Raw genomic sequence first — 21,647 nt, forward strand, 5'->3', positions numbered from 1 at the left:
CTTCAGTTACAAGGAGGTGGAGGCAGGATTTTGTGTGAACCTGGAAGAGGCAGGGCTGGTGGAGGGGGCTGGTTGGAAACAAACTTAGAACTGGAGAGGAAGAATTTATCATTTCCTAAACATGAAAGTTCAGCAAAGCTGGGCTGGCAGTGCCAATCTTATGGGAGGAGGGGAGATGTGTGGGAAGAGCAGTGAGGGAAACAACCCTGAGCCTTTTCACTAATCCACAGATTTTTCAGCATTTCTTTATCTCATTAGAGCCCATTAAGTTCCTGAATTCACTCCTTTCTTGTAGTTTCAAAGCATTAGAAACAGCCAACGCACCAACACTTTCCAGTCTGTAATATCTGTTCCTTTGCCACTCCTTCTCTCTAAAAGGTAGGAAAATGCCAGTGGATTGGGGACAAAAAAATTTTTTTAATTAATGTGAGAGAATCCCTGCACAGCCTAATGACGACAAATGCCATAAATTTAAGAGTATAATTCAACCCTTTGAAACTCAGGTCCAAATAGGGGGAAAAAATGAGTAACTAATTTTTTTTAATTTTAAAGAGCTAATAATCTAATGAGGAATATATAAATTGTTCAAGAATACAAATAATATGCATATTAAACATATTAAATACACTTATGATAGTGAGGGGAAGGAAAGTGGAGTTTGGGAAGCAAAGGATATAAATAATAAATAAAACAAGAGAGGGGACTTGCAAGGACAAATGATTGTGAACTTAGGAGCATGATTAATTAAATATTAGTGCTAGGGGTCCAAAAATTAAAACTGTATGGTAGACAAAAGGGAAGAATGTCTTGGTCCATCTCCTGTGAAGTCAGCAGTGATTAACTATGTTATTTATGTGAGAAACCCAGAAATTCCCGGGGCTCCAGGCCTGCATTCATCAATTCATATAGTCTAAAATTTTAGCCAAGACTACTGAGAGGTCATTGGAAACTGTTGCTGAATGAATGGGGCTTGTATACCAGTTGAAAGGCAAAGCAACTTTATTTTTAGAGGGACTTGTGTCTCATTTCCATGATTCTTCTTGGGCTCTGGGCTTCCAGGCTATTAAGAGTAGTACTTGCCACTATCTATTCACAATAGCAAAGACATGGAATCAACCTAAATGCCCACCAATAATAGACTAGATAAAATATGGTACATATGCACCATGGAATACTATGCAGTCATAAAAAAAAACAAGATCATGTCCTTTGCAGGGACATGGATGGAGCTAGAGGGCATTATCCTTAGCAAACTAATGAAGGAACAGAAAACCAAATACCACATGTTCTCACTTATAAGTGGAGGATAAATGATGAGAGCACCTGGACACATAGAGGGGAACAACACACACTGGGGCCTATTAGAGGGTGGAGGGTGGAAGGAGGGAGGGGATCAGGAAAAATAACTACTGGGCACTAGGCTTAATACCTGGGTGATGAAATAATTTGTAGAACAAACCCCTATGACACAAGTTTACCTATATAACACACCTGCACATGTACCCCTGAACTTAAAATAAAAGTTAAAAAAAATAGAAAAAAAAGAGGAATGCTTGCAATTTTTGTAAATATATTATTTTTTAAAAGTTATTTACTTTTTTAAAGCACTGCATTCAGAATGTCAGATTATTGTCCAGAAAGTTGGCAACATTAGTATTCGCCATTCCCCCACCCATCGTGTAAGAGACTCCTATACCAGACGGAGCCCAGGCTGGGAATCACCATTCCTTTTAACTTTTGCCAATCTGATAAGTGTGGAATGTGTCTTTTCGTATTTATACTTCTTTGATTATTGGTGAGAGAGAACACTGTATCCTACCACAGATGCCATTTGATTTTCTGCCTCATGCCCATTTTTTTCTGTTGGTCTGGTAGTTTTTTCTTACTGATATATAAGCACTTGAAATCATTTCTAAGGATTTGTATTAATTTGCTGTCCTTCGCATACATTGTGACTATTTCCCCTCCTCGAGCCAGTTTCCTCCTAACTCTTTTTGAGAGATCCTAGATGGCCGGCCCATTCTTTGATTTATTTTTAAGCTCAAATAATATTAGAAATAACATTTGAAATGTCTAGACCAACCCTTTTGCAGTGACTTTACTGGGAGGTTGCATCAGCATCTAGACACTTCCATACATTGAGGAAAAACAGACAGCCGTGTTTAAGGACCTCAGAGGGCTTGCTATCACCCATTTATAATTTTCCCAGAACTTATGAGTCCCAGGTCCTCATTGCAGTGGTAAGCGCTGAGTGCTCACGGGGGTGTGTGTGGGACAGGATGTGGTTTGAGTTCTGTGATCCTCACCCCGACCTCATGCGTCGGGAATCCTTGCAGCCCTGTGACTGGCCTGTGGGGGCTTGGGCTAAGTCCCTGCCAAGATACCAAAAGACTGCAGAGGTGGGCAAAGACCTCAGGCCCCCAGACTAGCAATCTACAAACACTAGTCATGACTACACAGTTAAGGGTCGTCCATCTGCTTCCCCTTCTCCTAGCCTGCTTTGTGCAAACAAGTCCCAAGCAGGAGAAGATGAAGGTGAGTGAGCTTCAGAGAGGGCATGGTAGTTACTCTTCTGTCCTACTTCTAGACCCTGCCCTCCACTCCTTCTTGTAAGACTCCAACTCCTGCTTTCTTCTTCTTTGCCAGTTCCCCTAAACCTTGCTTTTTTTTCTCCTTGAATCTTCTTCATTCCTATGGATGGGTATTCCTTGCGTTGAATATGACTAGGGAAGAAAGGGTCTCCATATGACTAGGGAAGAAAGGGTCTCCATACCTTCTTCAGGTGGAGGTCCCCTGGAGACCTCTCTGGCCACATCAGTCTCTGCTTCAGAGCTGGGTCTGAGGCTGGGACAGCGATGGGCTTTAGAGTAGGTGGGGACTGGGGTTTGGAGGAGAAGCTGAGTGGACTTGTCTCAGACACAGCTCAGCAACAACCCCTTGAAGAGGAGGAAAAAACGAATGTGGAAGTTTTAAGGATGGATAAAATCAGAGAGTTATCAGAGAAACATAAAACATGAAAAAAAAAATCAGAGCCCTAAAACAACTGGATTTGGAGTCAGGCATCTTGGATTCTGGCCTCAGTTCTATGCCCAATTCATGGCTCGTTACCTTATTGATAAGACACATGTGTCTGGCAGCAGAAGGGGCAGTTTAGGAAAGGATAATAATGAATGCGATAACTTGGAGGCAGAAAATAATCATGAAGTTAGGTAAAGGCAAACTTTCATTTACATAATGGGTTACCACTTTTGACTTTGGACAAATTAACCTCTGTTATCTCATTGTAAATTTATGGGTAACAGTAACTACCTTATGGGTGGGTGAATAACAATTATTATGCATATAATACATTCTACAAAATGCAGTTCTAATAACATCTCCCCATCCCTCGCCTCTAAAATTAACTAGATAACATCCTGGGTGAACTTCTATTTTGAGAATTGATATGGTTTTTATGTTACCTGTGGTGCTTAATTGAGTGTGGAGACTCTGGGCTGCAGAATTTGCTTAATAAAAGCTGCGTCTAGAGATAATTGAGACACGTTATATGGACTTCAATAAATTTGAAACAGCAGTCAATATCAGAAGTAAACTGGACTAAAGGAAGTCTTCAAATTGAGAGTCTCTCTAAGCTTTTGCATACTGGTACCCAACATGACTGTGAGTGATTGTCATTGCAGTAGCAAAAGAAAAAAAAAAGGCAAATTCTTGCAAATGTTTAACTTGAAACTAGGTAACATGGAGATAGAAACAGATACTTTTACACAATATTCTCTTTATAGATCCCTCAATTTTGCTGGTGCATGTATATATGTATAAATTTAGGGAAAGGTGTAAAAACCTGCATAGAAAAATATCTTTTTCCTCAAGAGTAAGAAGTGAGTAGCTACAACCTAGTATGCTGGTGATAAAATCAGTGGGATAACAGGACTAGAAAAAAGTTGTGTTTTGTTTTGCTTTGTTTTGCATTACTCCTTCTCTGAATGGGGGGCAGATGATGTTCAACCAAAATCCTTACTAGACTACTGCATTTCCAGGAAGTCTAGTTTAATCCTAGTTTGTCTGGACATTCCTTATCAAATAATGCCCTTCTCTCTTTTCTCCAGCCAGTTCCTTTCCACCTTTTTCTCACCGGATGGTTTGGACATAGAGCTTCCTTTTCATATTCCTGTCATATATATTCTGTATTCCATGAGCAATTTGTGGCAGCTTCCCCAGTATAAGAAAAGGGATCAGCATGTGCTGGTGAGCACTGTGGCATCGGTACACTTGGGGTACTGCATGAACACTGTAAGGGTAGAGACAGAGGAGGAGTAAGATGAGACCTGCCTTGTAGAGGAATTTAATAAAAGAACATGCAATGAGAATTTCAGGCAGGGCTAATTTATATTAAGTGGAACTTAACAAATGTTGCATGGAAGTCTGCTCAAATATTAATATGTTCATGAGATTTGAGAAGGAATGGGATAGGTGGAATGGAATATGAAAGTGGATATTAGACACCTAGAGCACAATGGGCTGATGAGCTGGGTGATGCTGCCCAACAGATTTCAGGGACTCACTTGCAGATGGACTTTAGGGTTCTCCATCTCCTTTCTTGAGAGCTACCAAAAGCTGGGATTTCAGAGTATTGGCTTACATGACCACCATGTTAGTAAGAGAGTGACAGGAGAAATTTATTCAAGGTGGGGATAATATTAGATTCTAGAATGTTAAACATGGAAGCCCACTTGGAGTTCTAGTAAGAATCTAGATAAATATCTTCATTTTACTCATGGGGAAACTGAAGGCCAGGGATGGGAATTGCCCAGGTTCACAAAGGAATTTAACAATGGAGCTGGCTTCTGATTCCCAGGGCAGTGTTCTTTCTACTCTACCTGCTGATGAGTGGAGTAAGAGGTCAGAAGACCTGGGGAAAGATAAGCAACTAAGATATCCTAAAAATAGTTCAGCAATTTAAAACCCTCCCTTCTCAGAGAGTCCAGACAGGAGGCCTTCAATCCAGAGCCAAGGAGTAGCCTGTTTTTTACAGAAGCATGTAAGGCAAGTGTGCTTTTCTCTTCGGCCCCACTTACTTCCAGCTCCTACCATCCCAGCTTATGAATCAATATCCTTTTCCATTATCCGTGTATTTCCTGGTATCTCACAGCTTTCAAAATAATAGGAAACTTGATTCTTATGTGTGTGTGTGGAGGGGGGAGTGTACATAGTAAGTGTGTATATATATGTGTATATATATATATGTGTGTATATATATATATATATATATATATATATATATATATATATATATATATATATATATATATATATATGGTACAAGAGATGTTTTGATACAGACATGCAATGTGTTATAATCACATTATGGAAAATGGGGTATCCATCCCCTCAAGGATTTCTCCTTTGTGCTACAAACAATCCAATTATATGCTTTTAGTTATTTTAAAATGTACAATTAAGTTATTATTGACTATAGTCACCCTGTTGTGCTATCAAATACTAGGTCTTATTTATTCTTTCTAACTATCTTTTTTTTTTCTCATTAATCATCCCAACCTCCCTTCCACCCTCCTAGTATCTTTCCCAGCCTCTGGTAACCATCCTTCTACTCTCTATCTCCGTGAGTTCAATTGTTTTGATTTTTAGATCCCACAAATAAGTGAGAACATGCAATGCTTGTCTTTCTCTGCCTGGCTTATGAGACTTGATTTTTTATTTCCAAGTTACAAGAACCAAGTTTCAGTCTTGTCATTGACACTTTAGACAACTCTTATTTGTTTTCTAGATCTTGGTTAGAACATAACTATTCTTTGACTTCTTTGAAAGATTACACAGATGCCAGGAATTATTGTTACCAGTATTATCACTTAAAAAAAATCTTCCAGATGGATTGCCACAAAGACGAGAAAGGCACCATCTATGACTATGAGGCCATCGCACTTAATAAGAATGAATATGTTTCCTTCAAGCAGTATGTGGGCAAGCACATCCTCTTCGTCAACGTGGCCACCTACTGTGGTCTGACAGCGCAATATCCTGGTAAGAGAATTCATAGTTACTTCTCTTTGGGACTAAATTTTCCAGCTGATCATATTCTAAATTATACTTGGAATTATATTTTAATTATAATTATGTACCAAAATAAATACTCATAATCAAGTGACTTCATCCTCCATATCAGAAGTCAGCAAGCTTGGGTGGACAGGCCAAATTTGGTCAGCCTGGCTTTGTTAACAAAGTTTTATTGGAATGCAGCCGTCCCCGTTCATTTACACATCACCTATGGCTGCTTTCATGCTGTAAAATAGAGGTTAGTAGTTGTAGGAGTAGTGATGATGGAAACCATGTGGCCCACAAAGTCTGAAATATTTCCTATCTGGCCCTTTACAGAAAAAATGTGCTAACCCCCTCCCCATGCCCTGCCTCTGCTTTTTCCTGAGATTTCCAGGGGAATCAATATATACTTGAGAACTAGGAGCCTCTCAGAAGATTCCAGAAGTCTTCTTGATAAATACAGGACAGAAGACCCATGTTTTTGAGACTTTTGCAAGGTTTTACAGGTAACTTACAATGACAAGAAAAAGGAGTTTTATACCTGGAACTGCATTTGATTAGAGTGAGGGCTGGCGGATGAGGCTGTAATAGAAGCAAATACTCCCTCTCCAACCTCAACCCCTTTTTAGGATGTAGTTTTTCCTCCCTTTTTGTACATTATTCAGGGAAGAATTTTCTCATATTTTAGGGCATGTGGTTTAAAAATCAGTGAATAACAATCAGGATGGATTATACCAGAGACAAATGTACTTCTTATATTTGAAGTAATAAGACCTTCATTTTTTGTTTTTAATTATGTTTTGAATAAGCATTATATTCACAAGTCTCAAAGTTCAAAAGAAAAAAACTTTAGAACCAAAGGTTTCCACCTTCTTCCCCTCCCTTCAGTAGACCAATATTATCTTGTTTACAGAATACATAGATATTCTTGTTTCTGCTCCCCCCTCCCCAGCTGATAACACACAATAAATACTATTTGCTGCCTTGATTTTTTAATTAATAAAATACATTTGAGTTCAGATCATTTCCTCATTCTTTCTTAAGACTGAATAATATTTATTGGACCACAATTTATTTTCCCAGTTTATAGGGACTTTAAGAATCGATTTATTCAGTTTCCACCCTGCAAATAACAGATAACAGAAGGACATAGGGAGGGGTACTGAGGAACCCTGTGAAAACAGGAAGGCAATCTCTGTTTTTTAAAAAGGCCTAGAGGAGGTACCAGTTGGCTGAGCTGAATCTGAGTGGGACTGGTTAGTGTTTGTCAAGGGACTAAAGGCATCTGGCTCAGAAAGGGTTAACAAAGAAGATGATTATAAAAGTCTGAGCAGACAAGTTGGAAAACTTCCTGGTAGTGGACGAAGGCAGCTGAAGCTTGTTTTTCAGCATATTACTGAGGATTTTTAGTAAGAATGCATCTTCAGCATCTTAAGGACTGTTGAAAAATGTTAGGATTGTTGATTTCAGATTTCTCTGTTTGTCTTTGCCTTTGTCAGTTTTACTTCCACTCCACTCAGGGTGAGCCAGGCTGCACAGAGGAGAGAAGCTCAGTCCTGGCTAACATGGCGAAACCCCGTCTCTACTAAAAATACAGAAATATTAGCTGGGCATGGTAGCAAGTGCCTGTAGTCCCAGCTACTCGGGAGTCTAAGGCAGGAGAATCACTTGGATCTGGGAGACGGAGGTTGCAGTGAGCCGAGATCGCGCCACTGCACTCCAGCCTGGGCGACAGAGTGAGAATCTGTCTCAAAAAAAAAAAAAAAAAAAAAAAGAAAAGAAAAGAAAAGAAAAGAAAAGAAAAGAAAAGTCACCTGTTGAACTTTTGAATAATAAAGAAGACTAAGCCCCATTTCAGAGGAACAGAAAACTCTCTGAAATGGGACCTGGGCATCCCTATTTTTAGGAAAGGGCCTTCAGCTGATTCTGATGTGCTGCAGGTATGGAAAACACTGCACCATGACAAAGGGCTTTTGAGCGCACGTCTGAAGATCCGGCCTCTAACTTCAGCTATGCTACTAACAGCCCTTCTGATGCAGAGCTGTTTCCCTCCCTGGGCCTCTGTTTCCTTCTCTGTAAAATGGGTAACCCCAGGGAATCATCCTTGCACAAGGCAGAACCTCTACCTAGACCAAAATTGTTCCTCCTCTAACTGCAGAACTAAATGCACTCCAGGAGGAGCTGAAGCCCTATGGTCTAGTTGTGTTGGGCTTTCCCTGCAACCAATTTGGAAAGCAAGAACCAGGAGATAACAAAGAGATTCTTCCTGGGCTCAAGTACGTGTCTTCTTGAAATCCAATAGGAGGCGCCTGTGTACCTTTCCTCAGTCTCCAGAGGCCCTTCCAGCTCAGGAACTTTCTGGGGAGGTATGGATTAATAGGCTCAGGGGCATTACAAGCAGAGTTTAACTTTGGCCTACCGTGATGAGCGTCTGGCAGTTTCCAGACTCTCTCTCCATCCCTGGCTGAGACTTGGATGGACTATGGAGGACAGAAGGGATGGAGGAAAAGAGACAAGTCATGGGATAGAGAGAAATAAAGTGAGTCAGAGAGCCCAAAGTCAAAACATGGCCATATTCCTCCCCACCCACAACGATACTTCCCTCTTTCTCCCCTTTCTCATGACTTCAAATCCTAGTGTCCCATTATAATCTTTACTTGCATATCCTGGAGCTTCCTGGGAACATTATGGCTTGTTGCAGGTATGTCCGTCCAGGGGGAGGATTTGTACCTAGTTTCCAGCTTTTTGAGAAAGGGGATGTGAATGGTGAAAAAGAACAGAAAGTCTTCAGTTTCTTGAAGGTGAGTAAATTCCTGGCATAAGCCTCCTCCTCTTTTCTAATATTGCTAACATAGAGTTGGTGTGGCAGAAATGGATCCAAGGGCTCATGCCCAGAGGTGGGATTGGTCTTTGTGGAGAAAAATCTCCAGATCAGCATTCCACATTGCACATGCTGATCTGGAGATTAATCTGTGAGTATCTATGGGGCTCTAACTCTGTGTGGTGAAGAAAGTTGTGTGGAATGGCAACTTTTACTAGGACCACCCTCTTTTGCTCATTGACATTCATTCATTAATTCATTCCAGGTACACTTGATGAATGCCCGCTACTTATAAAGCAATCTAAATAATAAGGATATAAAGATGAATAAGGCATAGTCTGTACTCTTGATGAGTTTATAATGGAGAGAGAGTTAGAAACCATTAGCTATGTAGCTGGGGTGGTGGTTCATGCCTATAATCCCAGCACTTTGGAAGACTGAGGCAGGACAGGAGAATTGCTTGAGGCCAGGAGTTCAAGACTAGCCTGAGCAACATAGTGAGACCCTGTCTCTACAAAACAAATCAAAAAATTAGCTGGGTGTGGTGGCACGTACCTGTAGTCTCAACTACTCGGGAGGCTGAGGCCAGAGGATTGCTTGAGCTCCGGAGCTGGAGGCTGAAGTGAGCTATGATTGTGCCACTGCATTCCACACTAGGCAACCAAGCAAGACACTGTCTCAAAAAAACAAAAACAAAAAAAGTAACAAACCAACAGGTATGATACAGTGTAGTAGGTACCTTTTATGAAACACTGATTTTTAGACATAGAGAATGCCAGAGCTGAAACAACCCTAAAGATTACCAAAGTGAATTGTTCCTAAATGCTGGACTGTGAACCAAGACCAGTCCATGTTAAGACTTTATATATCCTCAATAAATTGAAGACAATAGAACAGTGTATCATGCCTCTGCACCCCAGCCTGGGCGACACAGCGAGACTCTGTCTCAAAAACAAAAACAAAAAAGAACAGTGTGGGAAGTTTTTTATAAACTCAACTCGTCTAACTTATAGGACTTCCCTTTATTCACAAATTATGACCCACACGCAGTTTATTCTTCCAATGGTCTTTTTAAATTAAGTGACAAAATGATGGTGTTTTAAAAATTTTTGTTATTTGACAAAATATTAGTAATTCAGTGTTGGTCCCAAAAGACAATTATTGAAATATTAGTGGCCCATGGAACCCTAAGACCTGGAAAACCACATTCCAATCCAAGCTATTTACTTTGAAGAAAAGGAAACCAAAAGCATAAAAGGTAACATGTCTTATCCATGGCAGCAAAATTTTGTTATGGGGCTATGGGGAGAAACCGAAAGAGAGCAGATTTTGCTATAATATCTATAATATTCTTGGTAGTTGGCATAGTGGTGATTCAAGAATTTATGGAGTTTTTTAGGAATATCAGGAAGTTAAAATATCTAGGTATAGGAGGGGGTGGATTACCTGTGGGTAAAAATAGCCTGGATCATCCAGGAGCAGAAATAACATTGTTTCTCTTTTCCATCTCTCTGGTTTAGCACTCCTGTCCTCATCCCTCTGAGATTTTGGGCACATTCAAATCTATATCCTGGGACCCTGTAAAGGTCCATGACATCCGTTGGAACTTTGAAAAGTTCCTGGTGGGGCCTGATGGAATCCCTGTCATGCGCTGGTCCCACCGGGCTACGGTCAGCTCAGTCAAGACAGACATCCTGGCGTACTTGAAGCAATTCAAAACCAAATAGGAAGGTGGAGTTAAGGGCAGGAGCAACCCTACTTCTCACCTAATGACTTGCTCTCCCCACCCCTCCAAAAAAAAGGAATACCCATCTTCTCACCACACTCTCTTCCTGCATGGGCTCCACCTGAGTAAATCACCGCCACATACTGCCAGAATTCCCACTCTCCACAAACTAGATTTATATTTGGAAGGCTACTGCTCTTTTGCCTCTCAAGAGTATGTGGGTGAAGACTGAAACAAATGGAAACCTAAAATCCCCAGACCTCTGTTACAGGTTGAATCATTCATATCCACCAGAGGGAAATCATCCTTCCACGACAATGGTTCAGTCGGCCATCACATCCTGAAGAACATTCCTAGACATTCTGACTCTTCCATCTCTCTCTACCCTGGAGGTGTAGAAATAGCAATGGGGTCACAGTCACACAATTTAGGTTCCACTTCATAACATTTTTTGTCTCCTAGGACAAACGTGTATCATCAGTTTCCAACTGTTTTGGCTCAGTTTTCATCCATGACACCTCCCCCTACCAGCCATTCTCCTGTGGGAGCAAGAACATTGCTTCAAAAGAAGAGAGGGCATCTCCATGCTTGTGGGACCCAAAACCTATCTCTGGCCCTACAAAAGTTTTCCTAATTGTCTGATCTTTAGTGCATTCAGGTTATGGCACCTGGAGAGGAATGCCCTTTATCTTTTGAAGGATGGGATTTCCCATCTCAACCCTGGATTCCTCACCTTCAGAACGAGCCCTGCCACTGTCTCCAATAAAATGTTTTCTGCAGCATCGACAATCTCTATGGTGGTTTTAAAATCCTGTCTGGTGCTTGAACTCATTTTATCTCCCTCCTCCTTCTTACTCTGTCACAAATGATGTATTGCCCACATGACCTGAGCCCCCCAGACAGAAAGATTTATGTTTGGAAGGTTGTCACCTAATGCCTCTCAGTTGTCATTCCTCTTCAGGAATTGCCTCAGCCTAAGTTTTTCCCCTTTCCAGGGCAGCCTGTATCCAGTTACTCATCCCTGAGAGGCATAGAGGCCAAACCCTGACTGCTCAACTTAGCACAACTTTGAAGGGCCATACTAGCTCTAGACATGCACAAGGGGTAGGCCGGTGGCATTTTGTGCTTGCACTGCACCCCAGTTTTTCCCTCTGACAAATTCTGCTCCTCTTCTTTGCCACCCCCCCCAACCCTCCACACTGATTGTCAGTTAATGCCCTAGTAAACTTTCTGAATGCAAATATCCATCTTAGAGTCTACTGTCTAGAGAATCCAACCAGTAATTATTGGTACCAAATATGATCTGAGAAAGAAGATACTAAGAGGAGATTTTTGAAGCTGAATTATTCACCGTCTGGTTGATGATGAGAAGATGGGTGGAGCACAAACAACTACTGGCACAAGTAGCAGTGCAGTTGTCAAAACTTTTGCCAAACCTGAACTGGCATGGTAAACTGGTGGAAGAATATGCACTAGCAGACATGAAGTTTTAGGTGCTTGAGAAACATGAGGGGAATGGTAATTATAACGTAATAGAATTGGATGGTCGTTGCCAGAGGAAATTGATGTTTTGGAGAGAGATAATTAAAGACTGAGGATGATATATTATTAAATTAAGGCTAACTGTGAAAGTGTTTCTCCATGGGATGTATAAAGGACCTCTCCTATCTGCAACTTAACAGCAGCAAAACCGAAAGTTCAGGCTCAAGACTTAATCATAGGAATAGTATGTACAACTCTAAAAGAAGTTAGCTTCCAGCTGTCACGGTGGTTCACTTCTGTAATCCCAGCACTTTTGGAGGCAGAGGCGGGAGGATCTCTTGGGTCCAGGAGTTCAAAATCAGCCTGGGTAACATAGGGAAAGCCCATCTCTGCAAAATAAGAAACAGAACCAGGCATAGAGGCACACACACCCATGATCCCAGCTGCTAGGGAGGCTGAGGTAAGAGGACCACTTCGGCCCAGAAGTCAAGGCTGCTGCAGTGAGCTGAGATCTCAACATGGAGACATCTGGTTTGATGTATTAGAATATCCAAATCTCCAAATTTTCCAGGACCCCCAAAACTTTTAGAAGTGGCCCATCCCTTCTTATTGAGGGTTAGCATATCCTTCTTGCTTGAAAACAATGCAGATGACTCTGTCTGGCCAAATATTATGTGCCTCTGCTCCCACTCAGAATCTGCCTCATGTCAAACTAGGTTCTCAGAGTTCGTGAAGAAGGGGAGTGCAACCTAAAGTTAGATAAGGAGACTTCACTGATATGGGAGCGCTCTCCCTGAATACAGAATTTTTACACTCTGTCAAGAAACCAACACACTGTTCGGATGGCTCCTATTCGGAAAAAAAGAAAAATGTCTCTCTCTCAATGTGGTAGAAACACCAGAACTGTTTCAGCAGGTGGTAGAAATAGGGGATCAAAAGTTCAGAAAAGTGGGCAGGTTCAAGTGGTTTACCATGCAGTGCTGGGAACCCCACTAGATAACTGTACATCACAGGAAGGCCAAAGGACATTCAGTTTGAAAAAACAAAAAAGGAATGTGCTGGTGAGAGGGGCCATTTTGTTATGTTGTTCAATTACTTTAACAAAAATTTTAAAAATATTTAATCTTTCTCTGTTAAACCTTCATAGAAAAAGCCCGACATGAAATATAACAAATGTAAACAATGGATTTCTCAAGATATGAGACTTTGGCAAATTTTTAAATAATTATATTACTGTTTTTCTGCATTTACTTAGCCTGCGTTGCATCTATACGTCGAAAACAGTGATTTTTGTAAAGGAAATATTCGCTCTCTGAGTGTTTCCGAGTAGCAAAGTATTTTAACATTATTAGATTTAAAATCAGCGAGTGTCTGGATGGGAGTGGGAGGTTGGCATTTCATGTAAAGCAGCAAATAGTGTAGCCGAACGCAGAGTGGAGAGACAGGAAGTAGAATGGCGAAAATGAAAAGCCCGCGGGATTCCGAAACAATGGAAAATGCTCTCGCTGGTTTTGTGCAGGCGGAATACGCGCTTCTTGGTGGAAACTTCACTCCGAATGTAGTGATTGACACGTCTATTTTACATGCAGCCATCTTAGCTTCCTGCTTTTGGTGAACCGATGTGACTTTCATTCAAATGTTTTTAAATTATTGTCTGACTTTAGAGAAGCCGTGGGAAAATCTGAGCAGAAATTCAAGGTACCGGTGACGTCAACCCTGAGTCCCTAGGGCATCTCTGAGTTGGAAGGAAAAGGGCTCCGGATCAGCTAATTCCAGGGTTCTCTTGATTGTTGCTTTTCATCCCATTCGTGGAAGTCCTGTATTAGAAGGTGCCTAAAGTTCATATTATTTAATACCTTAAAAAACAATGTTTAAAGAGTTCATCGTCAATCTGTAAGAGCATCTTCTCTTATACCTTTCCAAATCCTTATTATTTCTGTGGCTCCAGTGGCGCAATCGGTTAGCGCGCGGTACTTATAAGACAGTGCACCTGTGAGCAATGCCGAGGTTGTGAGTTCAAGCCTCACCTGGAGCAGTTTTACTATTCTCCGACCTGTAGAAATTCAAAAACAGGGAGAGCTTATTGCGCCTGAGATTTCTTTCAGCGATGTATGTACTCAGATTTAGACTGCACTCAGAACCCTCGCGTGATTTGACTTAAAATTCCCTGGTTAAGGTCATGGGTGATAAACGTCGTCACACGGTCCTTTTTGATGCTTGCCTTTGTCCAATACCTCGGCAACAAGTGTATGACAGTCGCTAAAACAGCTCTTCACAGTATTCATTTCAATAAGAAACTGACCGGGTGTGGTGACTCACACCTATAATCACAGCACTTTGAGAGGCTGAGGAGAGCTGGTCTCTTGAGCCCGGAGGTCAAGACCAGGCATGGGCAACATGATGAAACCTTGTCTCTACAAAAAAATGCAATTTAGCCAGGCGTGGTGGCGCGTGCCTGTGGTTCCTGGGTGACAGAGTGAGACCCTGTCTCAAACAAAGAAACCTGACCTTCACAGTCTCAGGCCCAGATAGATCAGGCATATATAAAAATTCATAACTAGTACTTCTGTGTGACTTTTCAACTCTGTGAAACAAGGACGATCTTAGGTTTTTAAAATCACTGTATTAGTGGGAATTTTCTTGTCTCTGAATCTGCTTTCCCTACCTCAGTTTCTTCATTCCTCTGGGATTCTTAATGAGCCTATGATGTCTGCAGTTATGACAGAGACACAGGTATTGAGTCTCAAAAAATAAACCAAACCATTACAGCCTCCGAGCTGAGCAGGAAGCCTACATGTGGGCCACTAATCTCACCCTCTGGATCTTAAACATCTGTGACATCCTGGAGACACAATACAGCTCTCCCTCTTCACAGATTTATGACTGCCCATGTGCAAATGCTCAGCACTACCTGTTCTTTTCTAGCTGCTGCTGCATTTTGAAATGTTTACATTCTCCCTGGTCCCATCCTGAGCTGCCCACCAGGTAAAAGTGGGTTCAAAACAAGACCTACAGACCAACTTGAATTAACACTTGTTTAAAAAAAAAAGTGATAGTGGATAATTTACTTAAACAAGATGTACAATGAACATATCAATAGGAGGGCTATTCACCGTGTTGTTTGATAATAAATTAACAATTGATTAACAGCTGCAAGTTCCTCCCATCCCTGTATGCATATCCCTCTGTAATGTGTGTGCGTATGTGTGTTTGTTTTGTTTTGTTTTTTCAAGACAGGGTTTTGCTCTGTCCCCCAGGCTGGAGTGCAGTGGTGCAATCTTGGCTCATTGCAACCTCCACCTCCTGGGTTCAAGCGATTCTTGTGCCTCAGCTGCTCAAGTAGCTGGGATTACAAGCATGCGCCACCATGCATGGCTAATGTTTGTATTTTTATAGTAGTAGAGTCAGGGTTTCGCCATATTGCCCAGGCTGTTCTTGAACTCCTGAGCTCAAGTGGTCCGCCTGCCTCAGCCTCCCAAAGTGCTGCGATTACAGGCGTGAGCCAGCACACCAGGTCTGTAATGTGATTTGGCAGCAGCTTTCATCAAGAGGCCAAGTCTGTTTCCCTCCCTGTTGTATGTGAGTTGACTTTGTGATTTGCTTTGACCAACAGAATTCTGTGAAATGATGTAGAAATGGTGGTGTAGGAGTTCTAAAATTAGGCCTCAAGAAACCTTGTCACTCACCTCTTAGAACCTTCATACCAAGTTGGTACAAGATGCTGGAAACCTCATCAAGCATCTTAGGTGGAAGACCACATGGAGAAAGAGTCTCAGCTATCTCAGCCATCCCAGGCAGTCCAGCTGACACCCCACACATGTTAGTGGGACCATCTTGGACCATCCAATCTCAGTCAAGCTGCCAGATGACTACAGTCATATGAGTGACCCAAGACAAAATCAACAAAAGAATTGCCCAGCTAAACACAGCTCCAATCATTGACCTGAAGAATTATAAACAGAAGAAACAATTGTTGTTTTAAGCCACTAAATTTGAGTAAGGTTTGTTACACAGATATAAATGATGGATATAAGCACTAAGCACAGTTCTGAGCACAAAGTAAGAGCCTAGGGTAAGTTAGGAGTTTATGACTTTTGGGGATCTTCTCATTGCCCCAAGAAGTGGGTCTTCTCTCCTCTTGCCACAACACGGAAACTCCAGAATTGTTTGGAATCCTGGGTTGTTCAAATTGATCCTTGGAGTAAGCTTCTGACTCCTTGTGTCCTTGCACCAAGCTCAGAGTTCCTGCTCTGAAAGACCTAGAGCTTCCAGATCTCTAGAGTGAGTTGAGGTATGAATGGATAGAGGTGTCCTACAGTCCTTGCCTGATTTTGTAAACTAAACTGCAGAGTCCACAGTCCTTTCTAGCTGCATTTTCCTAGTGCTGGCTGTTCTTTTGGTAGGTGTGCTGATTTGCCTTGTCACCCGTGACAAGGAGAAAAGGGTTTGATATCCATATTGAGAGACATTTGAATATTTATTTTTAAATAATTGTAGTAGTTTAGAGATGCCAGACAGTCATACTTGGTAGCTTGTTTCCAGTTTGCCTAATATTTTTTTCAAGAAAATTCCATAACGGACAATTCTTATGTGTCACATACTTGTCATCATGGTGGCTAGAAGCAGAGTATACAGTTCTGTTTTCCAGAAATTCCTGAGTAGCTTCCCACCAGGCAAGATACCAGAATCAGGCAAAAAAAATTTTCTTTTTTGCTTTGGATTTTAAACTAAATCTGAACAGAAAGCAGCATCTGTGTATTTTATTTAGAAATGTTTCCTTTGATAGAAGGAAGAGTTGAAAATGACAATTGAACAATGTCATAAATTATGACAGAAAGAATTTCCTGTCTAATTTATTAGTCAAACTATCAATCAAAACTGAGTATGTTATAAAGCCATTTGTAGACAGAGTCACCCTCTCAGAAAATTCCTAGAGGTTATTCTCCATCAAAATGATACAACACTAAAAAAAGGAAAACATAAGGGTCCAAAACAGGAAGAAGGCAAAGTATATCCCAGGTCGGTGGAAGAAAAGCCCCAAGAAGACACCTGTGTAACATGCCTAGAGAACAACCAGTCCAGATTGAAGCAGGGATACAAAGGCTCCAGAGAGGAGACCACTAAGGAAAATATTAAAATTGATAGGTTCTTTGAGGTATTTCACTATATTGAGAGTTGCTTAAATTCAAGGAAAATCAGTTGAGAATGAATTGGTTACATGATCATAAAAGATAAAGAAAAAGTAAAAGGCAGTTAATAACTTTGCAGAAAACTAAAAGGCACATAAGAAATATAATCATAGTACTATATAGCACAGCTGTGAATAATTTTTTATAACCAATAAACCCTGAATTTAGAATTATGATGAAATTAAGTAGGAAGGATGAGGGAGGGGAAATATATATGCAGGGATGAGTAATGTATGAGAGGTACCTCCAGAGATTGACTTTCAACATGAAGTGAAAAGAGCTCTGCAGACCAGCTTCCAAGTGAAACTGGTGAAAATTATTTTTTTCAAATCAACCATTTAAAAGTCTCTGGCAAAGTGCTGGCCGTAGTAGCTCACGCCTGTAATCCCAGCACTTTGGGAGGCTGAGGCGGGTGGATCACGAGGTCAGGAGTTCGAAGCGAGCCTGGCCAGCATGGTGAAACCCTGTCTCTACTAAAAATACAAACTTATCTGGGCACGGTGGTGGGTGCCTGTAGTCCCAGCTATTCAGGAGGCTGAGGCAAGAGAATTGCTTGAACCTCAAAATAATGATAATGAATGAAAGAATTTTTTTAAGAGTCCATACTGTATGATCCCACTCACATGAAATTCTGAAAACTATGAACATGTAATGATGGAAAGCATATCTGGTTGTAAGAGGGGAACAGGGCTTACAAGAGGGCAGGAGGAAGCTTTTGGGGGTGATGTCTATGTTCATTATCTTTATTGTACTGGTCGTTTCATGATTACACATGTTATACATATATGATTGCATATATGTGTAAAACTTACACATAGTTTAAACTTGTGCAGTTTATTGCATGGGAATTATGCCTCAATAAAACTGTTTAGAGTACATTGTCTGGAAAAATATCATGAAGCCATTCTGCAAGTATAGTTGTGGGTCTTTTCCCTCTTTTTTCTTTTTTCTATACTATGGAGGAGATCGTGTCTTGTTGGATTTCTTGTTTGTTTGTTTTTGTTTTGAGAAGGGGTCTCAGTCTGTCGCCAGGCTGAAGTGTAGTGGTGCGATCTCGGCTCACTGCAACCTCCGCCTCCCGGGTTCAAGCGATTCTCCTGCCTCAGCCTCCCCAGTAGCTGAGATTACAGGCGCCCGCCACCACGTCCAGCTAGCTAATTTTTTCTATTTTTAGTAGAGAAAGGGTTTCACCATATTGGCCGGGATGGTCTCAGTTTCCTGACCTCGTAAACCCTGGGTAAGTGATGGGACATGGGGTTTTCTCAGTAGGAAGATGTTTGACAACTTTTTCAATTTATTTCGTAGTTTAACTATTCATTATTGCTATTCCTTCTTGAATCGTACTTAATAGTCATGTCGTCCTAATAATTTCTCCATTTCATAAAAGTATTCAAATGTATTTGGCCAGATTCTTTCCCCTTTTGTTTTGTTTTAACGTTTACTGGTTTAATTTTTTTTGTTGTTCTATTTTTTATATCTTCCTGACCAGACAATTGTTTTGACTTTCACTGGTTTATTATAAAGGGCATTACAAAGGCTCTCTTTCGCCTTTTGGAGAAACTGCTTCCTCTTCTTCAAGATCTTTTCCTGGCTCGCCTCTTCTCCTGTTTTCAGGTCTCTGTTAACACCTTGGTTCCTCAGATATTGCGGACAGTCTAATTCGCCCCGCGACGTGAGGGAGAACCCAGGAGCGGGCTCCGGTAGAGAAAGAAGCTTCCGGTCAACGACCACATCCACCTGAATCATGAGCAGGTTTTAAGGCGTGTGTTTCTTCAGCTCCTCTAAATTTTAGAAAGGGGGCGATATTTAAACTGACCTCAAAAAGACAAGGCTCTCAAGTTACACTCTTTTGTGTGTCTGCGAGTCAAACTTGTAGCGCCTACTGGGGACCAGTGGAAACGTGATGGTCGCCCCCTGCGGGACCAGGTGAATAAAGCTCCTTAAGATGCATTCAACTGAGTTCCCTGAGCCCATTCAACAGGCGGGAAGAGGATACTCCCGGACCAGGGCTCACGCTTTCTCCATCCCACCCCGGACTCCAGGCACCTGTGTGCCAGCCTGGCCAAGCGTTTCCTCCAAAGTACAAACAGCTGAAAGGTGGTGTGCTGGCCCCACCTGAATCACTCGCAACTCCAAAGAGGTGTGTGATGCAACTTCCCATTTCCACGGGAAAGGACTGCAGAGAATTCACGTTCACTTTCGGAAATTAATTGGATGCTATAATTTTGTGGTGTGGGAGGTTGTGCAGTCTTGTTTTAGAGTGAAAAAGGGAGAATCAACCACGAAGGGATTCGAACCCTCAATCTTCTGATCCGAAGTCAGACGCCTTATCCATTAGGCCACGTGGTCCCATGGCTTAGCAACTGCAAAAAATATGAGAAATGTTGTAAGATTGGCTATTAACCTGGATTTTATATATATATTGTATGGTTCTACTTATATGACATGATTTCTGTTGTTAACCTAATTTCAAAGATAGTGTAAATTATACAAAAGCTAAATAACTTGCCAGTGTCACACAATAACAAGGTAATGCAAAGTGAGTATTTGGATTTTCTCCAAACTCCTACCCTTAACTTGACACCAAATGTTACACCAAATTTTGCACATGCACCACGTTGCTTCTCTCAGCTGGTGACAAAAAGTTGTAAAGAAAGGGAAAAAGAAAAGCATTGAATGTCTCTCTATAATCACTACTACACATGATCAGTTTGCATTCAGCATTGAGACCCTCTGGAAATAAATGAAAATCACCAGGTGAACGAGAAAGACCCCCTCAGGCGACCTTCTCAGCTTGGCGTCCAATTCAGCTGCAACAGCTGCAATTAGCATTAAATAGAGGCATCTTCCTAGGCCTGGCTCCGCTTGGTAACCAAAACTAGGCCCTGCTGAATAGTCTCTAGTGAGACGTTTGTTAAAAGCCCAAGAGTATAGCGGGCACTTAGAGAATAATGTAGAAAATGCGTATCATCTTGTGCAACCACTCGGTGGTGGCGCTGAGTGGTAGAGGGGGCAGGAGCCAGGCTTTAGGCCCGGAAAGTTGCAGTTCGAACCACTTCGTAGTGGTTGTTTTCATTTCAGTTCTTCATTTGACCCAGCCATCCTTGACTGGCAGCATTCTGACCTCCCACTAGTGATGTGCCGGTGGGAAACACACAGGAAGGAAAGGCGCGCGCGAGGCCTGCCCCCGGAACGAACGACGCCTGCGTGGACACCCTCCTGTGAGTGCCGGAGGCGTGGTGAAAGCAACGGGGTGCATTTGGTGGTCTCATTCCCCATTACTGGGAACTCTTTGAGAGCCTGATTTGAGTCTTTATGGGACCTCCCTCTTCATCCTGGCTTCCGGCTCTCTCAAAGTCTGTTACACAGATTTTTCATATTCCAGAAGGGCTGGAGAAACATATATTTACTGAAAAGCTCTTCTATTCAGCAACTGCATCCTGAGGAGGCTGCGCTCTCTTTCTCTTGCCCTCCACGAAAGCACCACCCGGATTCTCTCACCCACCTGGTCAAAGTGTCAGCTTGCAGGGATCTGTTCTTAACCCAGCCTGAAGGGGTTCAGTGAACACCTAGGAACCAAACTTACTCTTGAGACCTAAAAGATAAGAAAGAATTAGTTTCAAAAGAAAAAAAGTGCAGAAAGAGGCTGCACGTTGTGGCTCACGCCCGTAATCCCAACACTTTGGGAGGCCAAGACGCGGTAGGGGGGTGGGGGAGTGGAGGGGAGAGTTGGAGGGGGAAGTTGGAGGGGGGAGTTGGAGGGGGGAATTGGCGGGGGGCGGGGGGGGATTGCCTAAGGCCAGGAGTTTGAGACCATCCTGGGCAACATAGCGAAACTTCTCTCTCTCTTCTCTCTTAAAAAAAAAAAAGCCAAATAGATGATCCAGCAGATGGATCAGTATGTGCAATGGTATAAAAAATTTTGCCCAATTAATTTGAAAATTAAAACAGTAAATTCTGCAAAAGTTATCAGTTATGAAATTCGATTCAAGAGGAAATAGCAAGTAACTGTTACATAAATTGAATAGTCAAAAATTGTCCTACAGAGAAAGTCCTAAACCCAGATATTTTCACCTGAAAGTTCTTCAAAACAATCCAGGGAGAATAATTTCAATTGGATACAAACTTTTCCAAACGTAGTGACAGAGGGAAGACTTTTCACCTCATTTTCACCTTCATCCTAATACCAAACCAGAAAAAGACAATGAGAGAAAGAAAAATCACAGGTCAATCTCATTAACGAACATAAAATCAGAAATAATAATAATAAAAAAAAGCTGAATCCACCAATGTTTAAAAATCATAACAAATCCAGATTTATACCAAAAGCAGGATGTCAATTTAACGTGAGAAGAACAGTGTTATGATTCAGTAC

General features: G+C 41.6%; 1 protein-coding gene, 1 long non-coding RNA gene and 2 other non-coding genes across 6 annotated transcripts, besides 1 other annotated feature; 2 read left to right on the plus strand and 2 right to left on the minus strand.

Moving 5' to 3' along the window:
• Positions 2,316-11,390, plus strand: GPX5 (glutathione peroxidase 5). 3 transcript variants are annotated; one of them, NM_001509.3, is made up of 5 exons: positions 2,316-2,535; positions 5,886-6,039; positions 8,213-8,330; positions 8,756-8,855; positions 10,396-11,390. In NM_001509.3, the coding sequence occupies exons 1-5, from the start codon at positions 2,449-2,451 to the stop codon at positions 10,600-10,602; spliced, it is 666 nt and encodes a 221-aa protein (NP_001500.1). In that variant the 5' UTR covers positions 2,316-2,448; the 3' UTR covers positions 10,603-11,390. The 3 variants fall into 3 exon arrangements, 2 of the variants coding, with proteins under 2 accessions (NP_001500.1, NP_003987.2); NM_003996.3 differs by lacking the exon at positions 8,213-8,330 and having other exon boundaries at positions 2,447-2,535; positions 10,396-11,386; NR_144470.2 differs by lacking the exons at positions 2,316-2,535; positions 8,213-8,330 and adding an exon at positions 4,761-5,043.
• Positions 14,025-14,118, plus strand: TRI-TAT3-1 (tRNA-Ile (anticodon TAT) 3-1). Its single transcript has 2 exons — positions 14,025-14,062; positions 14,083-14,118. It is a non-coding gene; the product is annotated as a tRNA-Ile (tRNA).
• A 5,377-nt stretch (positions 14,119-19,495) lies between these two features.
• LOC107986586 (uncharacterized) lies at positions 19,496-21,432 on the minus strand. The gene is made up of 3 exons (XR_001744073.2): positions 21,347-21,432; positions 20,778-20,867; positions 19,496-19,635 (listed from the first exon to the last, which is right to left on the minus strand). It is a non-coding gene; the product is annotated as an uncharacterized LOC107986586 (long non-coding RNA).
• On the minus strand, positions 19,549-19,621 carry TRR-TCG5-1 (tRNA-Arg (anticodon TCG) 5-1). Its single transcript has one exon. It is a non-coding gene; the product is annotated as a tRNA-Arg (tRNA).
• Positions 20,409-20,991: an enhancer, noted in NCBI's record as "H3K27ac-H3K4me1 hESC enhancer chr6:28511751-28512333 (GRCh37/hg19 assembly coordinates)". NCBI's record gives its function as "activates a minimal SCP1, AML or CMV promoter by ChIP-STARR-seq in primed H9 embryonic stem cells {active_cell/tissue: H9 hESC(primed)}" and the evidence as "EXISTENCE:reporter gene assay evidence [ECO:0000049][PMID:30033119]".
• Positions 21,433-21,647: the final 215 nt, after the last annotated feature.

This window comes from Homo sapiens, chromosome 6, assembly GCF_000001405.40.
Source record: "Homo sapiens chromosome 6, GRCh38.p14 Primary Assembly".
Lineage (NCBI taxonomy): Eukaryota > Metazoa > Chordata > Mammalia > Primates > Hominidae > Homo > Homo sapiens.